At 38.0% G+C, this 12,570-nt stretch overlaps 1 protein-coding gene across 35 annotated transcripts in view; it reads right to left on the bottom strand.

Moving 5' to 3' along the window:
• Positions 1–12,570, bottom strand: part of PRP4K (pre-mRNA processing factor kinase PRP4K) — a 43,684-nt gene that overhangs the window by 9,527 nt on the left and 21,587 nt on the right. For all 35 annotated transcript variants that reach the window (XR_007059353.1, XR_007059354.1, XR_007059355.1 and 32 more), the window contains exons 6-11: positions 11,434–11,644; positions 8,209–8,282; positions 6,351–6,441; positions 5,578–5,725; positions 3,363–3,500; positions 2,584–2,737 (exon numbers count right to left, since the gene is read on the bottom strand). Coding sequence is in view for 2 of the 35 variants with exons in the window: in NM_003913.5 (NP_003904.3) it covers positions 2,584–2,737; positions 3,363–3,500; positions 5,578–5,725; positions 6,351–6,441; positions 8,209–8,282; positions 11,434–11,644 (816 nt within the window). In the remaining 33 variants the exon portion in view is untranslated. The remainder of the gene's footprint in view (positions 1–2,583; positions 2,738–3,362; positions 3,501–5,577; positions 5,726–6,350; positions 6,442–8,208; positions 8,283–11,433; positions 11,645–12,570) is intronic.

Raw genomic sequence — 12,570 nt, 5'->3', positions numbered from 1 at the left:
CTATGGGGAGACTGGACTATTATAAATGATATCCAGAGTTAAGCTATTAATAGGAACAGAAATGATTATTTTTAACTCCCACATTGATTACTATTCTTTTCATCTTGGGAATCAGAAAAGCATCTTAAAATAGAAAAGTTATTTTAAAACTTTTTAAAGTGTAAGCTGAATTCAGCTACTTAAGCAGTTTCAATACCCACAGAAAACTTAAGAACCATTTTAAAATTAGAATCCATCAGTGGAACTCTTGGGCTGGCTAAAATGCCTTAAAGAATAGCAGGGTATCCATACTCATATGCACTTCAGTTTGCTACACAACTTCTGCTCCTGTCATGAGGAATGTGGTACTTAAACCACACTGATACCTGAAATTACGAGCTAAAGGCTTTGGATTTTCATTAACAAAAATCAGCTCCGTCATTAAGGTCTATTTTTTCCTTCCCCAGGAAGACGGGAAAACATTTCTTAAATGTATGTGAAAACCTATACTAGTTTAGCATTAGGTTTTAAAAACAAGAGTTTCTTCTGTGACACTGGCAAATGTGTTATTCTTTAACCTCCACAATGGTCACAAAGACGCTCACTGTAAATGACCTTTTAAATTGTACATGTTTTGCATATTCTTTGACATGAACCATGTATTTCACAATTAAAAAACAAAAAATTGGCTCACGCTTATAATCCCAGCACTTTGGGAGGACGAGGCGGGCAGATCACGAGGTTAGGAGATTAAGACCATCCTGGCCAACATGGTGAAACCCCGTCTCTACTAAAATACAAAAATTAGCTGGGCGTGGTGGCCCCTGCCTGTAATCCCAGTTACTCGGGAGGCTGAGGCAGGAGAAATGCTTGAACCAGGGAGTTGGAGGTTGCAGTGAGCCGAGATCACGCCATTGCACTCCAGCCTGGTAACAGGGCAAGGCTGTGTCTCATAAAAAAAACTGAGGTAAAAATCAACTATGAAATTGGCCACACAAATTTATACTTCATTTTTAATGTACCTACCATTTCAATGAAATTACTCAGCTCCCCTAACTCCAAGTTACATTAGATATACAATACAATAATAATTCAGACCAAACATAAAAATGGAATACACCTCATTACTAATGTGGTTGTCTGGAAGGAAATAAAGGAAATATTTTAAGATATTAACAAAAAAGAAAAAGAAATATGAATTAAATAGCTTAGTTATTGATTAAAAAAAAACTCCTTAAACTTTAATGAGATCACCATTTTTTAAAGAATTTATCTTGGCCAAGCATGGTAGCTCACACCTATAATCCCAGCACTTTGGGAGGCTGCAGCAGGAGGATTGCTTGAGCCCAGGAGTTTGAGACCAGCCAAACCTCATCTCTAAAAAAAATTTTTTTTAATTAGGCAGTCACAGTGGCATGTGCCTGTGGGTAGTCCCAGCTACTGGGGAGGCGGAGGCAGGAGAACTGCTTGGGCTTAGGAGTTGGAGGTTACAGTGAGCCATTATGGCACCACTGCACTCTAGCCTGGGTGACAGAACAAGACCTTACCTCAAAACAAAACAAAACAAAACAAAAAAAACAAAAGAAAAAATCAAAAGTATTTATTTTGTTATAGCTCCAAGAGTTCCCAATAAAGAACACCTTACACGCTTAGCTTTTAGTCTTCAGGATCTCTCCTAGGCATCAACTGTAGGAGAACTGATAAAGAGAACCCATTTTAAAAAAATGAAATGCAGAATGTTACCAGCATATAAGCTGGAATTCTCCAAGTTGCGAACACGACCCAAACTGAAGGCCACAAAACAGGGTAAAGTAATGGGGCCAGGGAGGGGAGGAGTGTGTGTGTGCATTAATCACATCACTATGATAATATGTATGTATTTCAAAATTTTAAAAACATATACATTGTGAAATCTGCTGTTACCACCAGAAGTCACTAGTCGAAGAGAATTAAGGTTTCAAAAGGTGAGAACACATGGACACACAGGGGAACAATACACACTGGGGTCCGTCAGAGGCTGGAGGGTGAGAGATGGGAGAGGATCAGGAAAAGTGGGTACAAACCCTCCATGACACAAGTTTACCTATGTAACAAGCCTGCACATGTACCCCTGAACTTGAAAGTTTAAAAATAAAATAAAATAAACTTCAAAAGCGATGCCTTTAAATATAATACCTAACCACAACTGAGCTTTATTGTGTTTGAGCCCCCAGGAGCCACAGCTTAGGGAGCTATAAAATTAGCAAACAGAAGAGTACGGACACTCCTTATTTCAAAACAGCAACATGTGCAGCATTTTTCTAAAGATAACAGAAGAAACTCATTACTACAGTAAAGCATTCCAGGATTGGTGCACACTTTAAATCTATCAGTCAAAAGAGAAAAAAAGGGACAATTGTACATTTCCTTTTTCTTCATACTTGTCAATAAAATTTCACTGTCCGATTTCCAAGAAAGATAAAAAAGTATTAGTCATTTGAAATAGGTTATTAATATACTGAACTATGCTTCTAAGATGTCGTTTCTCATAGTAATAATATTACTGCTAGTAAGAAGTGAAATGTATGTTCAAGATGTACAGCGCAGCTTGGCTGTTTGACTTACCAGGATATTGTCTGGCTTGATATCTGCATGTAGGATATTGCATCTTTTAAGGAGTTTCAATGCCAGGAACAACTGCTGACTATAGGATCTTACAGCTTTAATATGAAGACCAACATCTTTACCATATTTTTTTAACACCTCTCGTAAGTTCATGCTTTTAGGAGAAAATTAAAAAAAGAAAACAAAATAGGAGTTAAAATGCAAAATGGAAATATAAAAAGGCAAAAACATTTGCAAGCATAAAGTAAAATCAAGCGCAAAATAAAAATATGTAAGAACCACCCCCACATTTGATAAATCATTTTATATTGAAAGGAGAGCATATCAAATTGTATGTATATAACACAGTTTCTGAATAAATTCAAATTTTCTAAATAGGTAAGAAGAAAGATATGCAAGGTAAAACTCCCATTTCGATTTTAGAATAGATTCACATCTGAAAACACAACAAAGCCACACTGTTGAAGATAAAAATTCCTTCCTTGAAGTATTTCATTTTAAGAGAGACTCTCTGTTGAACCCGGGAGGTGGAGGTTGCAGCGAGCCAAGACTGCACCACTGTACTCCGGGAGGAGCAACAGAGTGAGACTGTCTCAACAACAACAACAACAACAACAACAAAGACTAGCTGTTAACCACAAGTTAAAAACAAAAACCAGAGCTGTGTGGATAAAACAAATCAAATACGCAGAAAATCTGTTACAGCATTTATCCAAAATGAGATCGTAAAGATGAAGAAGTTAAATTTGCAATTTAATGCACACGTTTTGACATTGTACCTGAGAGGCTCGAATACCAGACAAAGATGCTGCTTGTGATAGAAGTGCCTGAAGAGTCTCAGACAATGAAATTTGTCATCAGGATCAGCATCATTAAGTTTTTTCAAGAACTCTAATTCTTTTAAACCAGTCTTTTGCCTAAAATAAAAAAAAAAATTGGGGTAAAATTGAATATATACAGAATTTAGGAGCACTAAATAATGTATTTGCTAGCCCCAGTATGACGATCAGGTGATGTGTGGGAGAAGTCTGTATATTTTTAAGTACTAATAAATCTACTGAGAAATGGTGTCTCTATATATCATTCACATAACACTTTATAGTTAGTCAACTATCATTATCATACATAGAGTTAATTTCCAAAATAATCACTGCACAAAACAGAAACATTGAGGAACAAACCCATCTTATTTTGATTTTTAAAAAATTTTGATTTTGCCTGAAGGAATATCAATCTTGTATATTTTATCTCAAAACAGGCCAGGCGCGGTAGCTCATGCCTGTAATCCCAGAATTTTGGGAGGCAGAAGTGGGTGGATCACTTGAGGTGAGGAGTTCAAGACCAGCCTGGTCAACATAGCGAAACCCTGTCTCTACTAAAAATACAAAAATTAGCCAAGGGTGGTGGCGGGTGCCTGTAGTCCCAGCTACTCGGGAGGCTGAGGCAGGAGAATGGCTTGAACCCGGGAGACGGAGGGTTTGCAGTTGAGCTGAGATCTCACCACCGCACGCCAGCCTGGGCAACAAGAGCAAAACTCCATCTCAAACAAACAAACAAACAAAAACAAACAAAAAAACAAAACAAAACCCACATCTTGACATTATTTTTAACAAAATGGAACCACACTGCACACTAGTCTTGGTTCCTTTAAGAATGCAGTAATGGGCCAGGTGCAGTGGCTCATGCCTGTGATCCCAGCACTTTGGGAGGCCGAGGCAGGTGGATCACTTGAGGTCAGGAGTTCAAGACCAGCCTGGCCAACATGGCGAAACCCTGTCTCTAGTGAAAATACAAGAATTAGCTGGGCGTGGTGGTGGGCGCCTGTAATCCCAGCTACTTGGGAGGCTGAGGAAGCAAAATCCCTTGAACCCAGGAGGCAGAGGTTACAGTGAGCCGAGATCATGCCACCATGCCACTGCACTCCAGCCTGGGTGACAGAGCAAAACCCTGTCTCAAAACAAACAAACAAACAAACAACAACAAAAAAACAGAACATAGTAATGGATGCCTTATCAAATTTTAACACTTGGTTATCTGAGGAAATTCTTGTTACAATTTGTCAATAAGCTACATTTTATAGTAAGCAGCTAAATACAGAAGTTGGGGCTTCCCATCAAAACAAGGTCCTTTCTAAGCCTAGGGCAATCTAAACTTAACACTTATTTCCAACATTTCAAACACATTAAATTCATTTTAATACCAGCTCAGTGTGTGGTATTAAAACACACAGATATGGCAATTAACTTTCTATTGGAGGAAAACAGGAACAAATTAAAAAAAGACAGATTCTCATCACTCTGATAAATTTTCACTTTTTTGCAGGTCACCATAGTGACAGCTAATCAACATGATCCTTTCATTTCTCAACTCGTCTTCAGATAAAGCAAAGGACGGCATAAGACAGACAATAGAGGGAAGGAGTTTAAGTTGTTATTGGTGCATACAGTAGGTACTAAAATGCACTGAATTAAAAATAATCAGCCTGTTGTTCCAGTACATATGACATATGGCTATAATTTTAAAATCCAGTCAAAAACAACTGTTTCCTGGCCGGGCGCGGTGGCTCACGCCTGTAATCCCAGCACTGTGGGAGGCCGAGGCGGGCGGATCACGAGGTCAGGAGATCGAGACCATCCCGGCTAAAACGGTGAAACCCCGTCTCTATTAAAAATACAAAAAATTAGCCGGGCGTAGTGGCGGGCGCCTGTAGTCCCAGCTACTTGGGAGGCTGAGGCAGGAGAATGGCGTGAACCCGGGAGGCGGAGCTTGCAGTGAGCCGAGATTGCGCCACTGCACTCCAGCCTGGGCGACAGAGCGAGACTCCGTCTCAAAAAAAAAAAAAAAAAAAAAAAAAACAACTGTTTCCATTACTTTATAATTGCAATACTTGTTTTACACATTCTATCATGTATCACTTTAAAAAAATAGTTTAAAAATATGTTCTTCTGTAAGTATCCGTACTGTTAAAGGTTTCCTCACGTCTTCTGAACTTACATGAGCTCATTGTTTCTGATGATCTTTACAGCCACTTCTTGGTTGGCTCTTGCATTATCTCTGGCTCGTACAACATTACTGAATACACCTTGCCCAGTGTAGCCATACACATTGTAACGTTTATCTAGGACTTCACCTATGTTCACACCTAAAAAGGCAAATTGAAAAATTAGAATTCTGACTATAATAAATAGAATCAGAAAGTAGGAAACACAGTGCAGTCATTTAAAAATTGTGTTAAATCTCTACTATTTGGTTTCCTAGACACAATGAAGAATCAAAGCCATGCCTCCACTGATCACTCTATCAGAGTGTGGTTAGAAGCTGCATGCCTACTTCAGATCACTACAAGAGTTCCTGTTGTCCTATCAACTGCTGATGATTTTAACATTAAGTTTTTCCAATTGTAGTCCCGCATGACAAATACCGCATGACTGGCATCCAAAGTTTCCTGTTTGTCGTTTTTCTTGGTTTCAGATCAAGACGAGTAAGTGACGTACCCCTTCCTTCTGGAAGACTATCTCATGGCTGAAAATAATTTTGAATATATTTAGGTTGTACATCAAGACTTTACCTCACTCCATTTGTGATGTTTCTGGGCTGCTTTTAGAATACACACGAGTTCATGCAGCTGTTGGATGTGCCACAATTTTTAAAGATGGCACTGTGATGTGATTTTTCAGAGTTCTCCAATAATCTGTGATTGCATCAAGCAGCATGCTTTTGCATGGTGTTACAATGAACTCTAAAGTTAATATAAAATGTGAACTTACGATAATAGCCTTCTGCATCGGTCCAGTTATCTCTGAGGTTGGGATTCTCTTTGAAATCTTTTCCAATGCCAGCGGCCCGAAGACGAGCACTCTGAAATTAAAGAGGCAACATGAACAGTTTACCCACTTGTCAGACATTTAACGCACTTCCTTTAAAACACAAAAGGGTAACACCAGATATAATTTAATAAAAGCATTTTATTCCAAATTAAATAAATTCTTACTATCACTTATGTAAATCCAACATAGCTGAAACATGAGACCAAAGTATCTTGATTCAAAATAACACTAAAAAAAAAAAACAAAAACCCCTCCCAGCCTGGGCAACACAGTGACACCCCTTCTCTACTAAAAATTAAAAAACAAAAAAAAAGCGCCAGGTGTAGTGGCATGTGTTTGTAGCCCCAGCTCCTTGGTAGGCTGAGGCAGGAAGATCGCTTGAGCTCAGGAATTCAAGGCTGCGGTGAGCCATGATGTCACTAATTACTGCACTCTGCACTTTAGTCTAGGACAGAGGGAGACCCTATCTCAAAACAAAAGAGAAAAAAAAGAAAATAACTCAAAACCAGATACAAATTTCTATAGCTGTTATACCATTTGTTATACCATTCTTCCCATACATGCATGAAATGTAGTAAGTCACTGGCTGCACTAGTTGACACTACGTGGAAAATTGAAAAATAAGAATATATGGTACTCCTGATTATTCTTTTTTTTTTTTTTTTTTTGAGACGGAGTCTTGCTTTGTCGCCCAGGCTGGAGTGCAGTGGCGCGATCTCCGCTCACTGCAAGCTCCGCCTCTCGGGTTCATGCCATTCTCCTGCCTCAGCCTCCCGAGTAGCTGGGACTACAGGCGCCCGCCACCACGTCCGGCTTATTTTTTTGTATTTTTAGTAGAGATGGGGTTTCACCGTATTAGCCAGGATGGTCTCGATCTCCTGACCTCGTGATCCACCCGTCTCGGCCTCCCAAAGTGCTGGGATTACAGGCGTGAGCCACCGTGCCAGGCCCTTCTGATGATTCTTTATTGCACCTTACTCTCCAAGATACCCAGAAGACTCTTCAATATCAACCAAGCAAATGAGTACTGACACCAAAACTGGGTCAATACTCATTTCATCCTCTCCTAATTCATTTATAGGTTGGTGTTCCTATTGCTCTGTGTGTGTGTGTGTGTGTGTGTGTGTGTGTGTGTGTGTGTGTGTACATATACATGACTATTTATCTTACCACATTTTTATTTTCCCTGTTACATTTATCTTCTCTACCTCCTCTTATGAAGGCCTCTTATTTCTCATGTCCTTTGAAATTTATATTGAAAATGTCCCCAAGTTTGACCACGTTCATAGTTTAAGACTTTTCCAACATAAGGCATCAATAAAAATTTAAGAAAAAAGTGGTGAAATCACCAAAATTTCTTAATCTACTCCTTATAACATTTCCAATTCTTCAATATTCTATTAATAAGTTCTCAATCACCTACTAATATAATATAGAGGCCCCAAAGTGGAGTCTATTCTAATAAAGACCTAGAAAATACTGTTATCTCCTTATGGCACCTAACTACCACATGTATGTGTATGTATTTAAATACACAATACTGTACAAATGACATGTTTATCATTTGGTGTTTGACTTTTATAAAGCTCTCAAATTGTTCTGCCATACCTGTCTTAAAATTTTTGACATTAATTTTAGACTTATAAGATGCAAAACTAGTAGAGTTTTCAGATTCCTTTCACCCACACTGTTCAAAATATTTATTACATTTGCTTTATTCTTCTTTCTCTATATGTATATACGCACCAATATATTTGTTATTTTTTTTTGTTTTAACACTTGATTTAAAATAACTTACATCAAAATACGCAGCAAACATATCATCAGATTCTGTAAACATATCAGGTGCCAACAACTTCTTCTGAGATGAACCTTAAAGGAAATTAGCATTAATGTTTGAAAAGTGAAGAGATGATTTAAAACACAAAATAAGTGAATGGGAAGTCATTAATAGTAATTCAAACTTTTTTGCCCTCTTGCACATCAGTTTCCCAACAGTATTCAATTTAGAATCACTTTATTAACATTTATGATACATAAAGGTATTCACTTTTTAGTAACAGAGTGCATTTCAGAAAGCTGAAAGACCGGCCGGGCATGGTGGCTTACGCCTGTAATCCCAGCACTTTGGGAGGCTGAGGTGGGTGGAACACCTGAGGTCAGGAGTTTGACACCAGCCTGGCCAACAAGGCGAAACCCCATCTCTACTAAAAATACAAAAATTAGTCGGGCATGGTGGCAGGTGCCTGTAATCCAAGCTACTTGGGAGGCTGAGAAAGGAGAATTGCTTGAACCTGGGAGAGGGAGGTAGCAGTGAGCTGAGATCACGCCACTGCACTCCACCTGGGCGACAGAATTGGACTCTGGCTCAAAAAAAAAAAAAAAAGTTGAAAGACCCAATGTTAACTTTTACTATTCTTAGTTTACATGAATAAGCTAATAGCTAAGCAATGACTTCACATTAAAATAAAAGCTCATCTTTAAAACATGTTATTTGCACCTTAAATCCCAAAAGGTTAATATTTCAACTATAGATCTAAATCTCTATGTATCTCTCCCTTTAAAAGTCCAATAATCCCACAGAAAACCTGGCTAAAAAATAAAAGGATTTTCTAGAAAAAAAAATCCAGTCGCTTTAACCATATGAATGCATGCTCATTATCACTTACATTAAGGGAAATGCAAATTAAAACTACAATGAGGTATCAATTTCTGACCTCTGATACTAGCTAAACATCCAAAAGTACAACAACATTCTGTTAACAAGGCTCTGGATATACAAGCACTCAGAAAGACGGCAAAATGGTACAACCCTTATAAAAGAGTGGAATTTGGTAATACATAGCAAAATTATATATTCACTCCCTCTTCTGACCCAGCAATCCCACTTCTAGGGAACTATCGTAAAACACAGTGGCCAAGAATTAAAGAATGACTTAATGCACAACACCATTATAATCAGTACCCAATGAATAGACAGAAACTGGACACAATTCAAATATCAAAGTCTGACTGAATAAACTATGGCGGAGCCTATAAAAAGGAGTGAGGAAAAGTATATCGATCTAAGTATGTATAGTTTGGTTTTGTGTGTGTAGGTAGGATACAACATATACACACATACATGCATACATGAAAGAATGTATTATTAAGAAAAAAAGATGATTCCTAAAAAACAAAAGCAAATGAAAATAAACCTAAGCCTATCAAATTTGTGGCATACCATACAGAGATTTCAAATGATTTTAAAAGACAGAGAATTGTGCCTATACAACTTAGAATGTATCCTAAAAACAACCACTGAAATTTTAAGCCACAGTTAGTATATGTAGTAATGATAATCATACTGATATCTAATGTGTATAAGTTTCAAGATAACCTATCTGTAATCATGTTAAGAACTAAATTTTTCACTGTAATAAGAGATAGAAATATAAAATCATAAGTTAATAAACCCCAATAATCTCAATTTTAAATTGGCAATATCTGTGTAAACTCCTCCTTTCCAAAAGAGTATCTACTTCCTAACTTTGTCCAGTGCAAAGGCCCAGAAATTACAGACACTAGTAAGTGTGCTGTGATGTCTAAATGGCATTTCCTATTAAATGGAACCAGGGATCCTTGGAGAAATAGCTGATTCTGCTCTGGGCAGGACATGCACAAGATAAACCTGTGCATCTTGCTAGAGCAGGAGTCGGTAAACTATATACAGACTGTGAGCCAAATCTAGCTGGCTGCTTCTTTCTGTATGGCCTACTTTTACATTTGTAAGTGTTCGGGGGTGGGGGAACAGAATACTTTGTGGCAAGTGAAAATTAGATGAAATTCAAATTTCAGTGCCAAAGTTTTTTCTGGAACACAGCCATGTCCGTTCAACAGTGTACTGTCAGCTGGGCGTGGTGGCTCACGCCTGTAATCCCAGCACTTTGGGAGGCCGACAGGCAGATCACGAGGTCAGGAGATCGAGACCATCCTGGCTAACACGGTGAAACCCCATCTCTACTAAAAATACAAAAATTAGCCAGGCGTGGTGGCAGGCGCCTGTAGTCCCAGCTACTTGGGAGGCTGAGGCAGGAGAATGGTGTGGACCTGGGACGCGGAGCTTGCAGTGAGCTGAGATCGCGCCACTGCACTCCAGCCTCGGTGACAGAGCAAGACTCTGTCTCTTAAAAAAAAAAAAAAATAATAATAATAATAATAACCATATATTGTCTGTGGCAGGTTCTGCCCTCCAACAAGTTCACTATATGGAACTGTAAAGGAAAAGGCCAATATAATTACTAAAGGCTCAACCATTTACTATCTAACCTCTTAGACAAAAAGTTTGCTGGTTCCTGTTCTAGAAAGTAAGAAAGCTATATTGAATACTAAAGGGCTGGGGCAAAAGGACAAGAGAAATCAACTGAAAAAGGGCTCCTTTCCCCAACCCAGTTAGAGAGACCAATCTAGCTTCAGAAAGAAAAATAACAGCACCAGATCGAAACACATCAAGCACATAATGACACCAAATGATGAACACCTAACAAAACAGTCAAAATCTCATTAGACATCTCTGGAGGTTGTTAGGACACCAACTGTATTCTAAAAATTGGTAAATAAAGAAAATAATAAACATGTATTTACCCTGCCTTTCCTATACAAACTATCTTTTGGGGTAACCAAAAAGTGGAAACCTCTTATTTAATGTTTTAAAACATTAATGTTCTTAACTGACAGAGACACAAACAAGTACCCAGAAGGGGAATAAAATCATAATTGGATTTGCTTTAAAATAGCAAGCAAAACAAAAGGTAACGAATATGTGAGAGTTCAGTATACTATTCAGGATATGTGAACTAATAAAAACACATTTATAGAGAACATTTCTAAGGACATATTTAATATTATATTACTGCAATATTCAGCAGAAGCAACATGTCTAATCTTTTACTTTTCCTAATCCCACCCCAAATAACGTCTCTTATTATAAAGTTACAGAGCTAACAATTCAGAGAAAAGCGTCGCCAGGACAAAACTCTCTCACCATTATTCTGTTCAACTGTCATTAGATTATGCTTGGCTTTCACTGAGGCCTCAAATGTATCAACATTTTCCCGTTCATACTCTTTAACATCAGCAGCTACTCGCTCCAGAATGTCATCTGGAGATGGTGATCGTGTTCTCGTACTGCTCTGGGGGCTGCTTGGTTCAGATGGCACAGACATGTTGCTATCTTCAGCAAGGTATTTATATTTCTGTAATAACAATACAGAAGATAATACTTTCATAAAATTGGATGCTATCCAAATACATTCATGGCTAAGAGTTGCTGCAGTGAAAAGTTAAGAGAACGTATCAAATAATGTAACAAACCAAATGGTATTTATTGGTTCAATCAAATCTGCAATCCCTTATGTAATTTCTAAATTCACAAAAATCTGAAAAAGTTTTTCTTTCTTCAGTGCACATTCATCAGGTGGCAGCACTGGACCTGATCAGATGAGGCACCATTTATTGTCTTATTTTCTCCCCAGTGTGACTACTACAGTATGCCTCACTGTAGAAATATTAACGTGTTTGATTATGGGGTCTGCTGCAGACCCCACTGATGGCACATAATAGATGCACCATATCACCTTTCTAAAACTCAAAAATTTCTGAGTTCCAAAGCACATATGGCCCCAAGGGTTGGAGGTAAGGGGTTGTGGACCTGAGCAAGAATAAAAAAAGATTCATCCACATCTTCAGGGATATCAGTTTATTAACTACAATTTTACCAGTGTCCCAGAAAAGTAAGCTTCCTCCGGAATTAGTTTTGCCCTACTTCCTTTCTGGTGATGCAAGTTCTGTCCTTCACTCCAACGTGGCACACTATTACCTGATTTATGGTTTGCTATGTGTGTTTAGGTAAGCTGCCACAGCTGTTTTCTCCTTTTGTCTTCGAAGGAAGAGCTGACAACCTTCCAAGTCACCAAACCTTATAATTAAATGGCTGTATCAAGATCTTTGTATAACATTCTTTCCCCACCCAATCTTCTTCATCATCTGGCTCTAGTCTTAAAATTATTTTTCAAATGTTTCATTTAAACCACCATATTCACATTACAAAACTTGCCATTACTAAATATTAAAATATTTACTTTATTCACACAGTAACATGCATAATTTTTTGCTAAATAAA

This window comes from Homo sapiens, chromosome 6 (assembly GCF_000001405.40).
Source record: "Homo sapiens chromosome 6, GRCh38.p14 Primary Assembly".
NCBI classification, from domain to species: Eukaryota; Metazoa; Chordata; class Mammalia; order Primates; family Hominidae; genus Homo; species Homo sapiens.
This window is presented reverse-complemented; position numbering and strand designations above follow the sequence as displayed.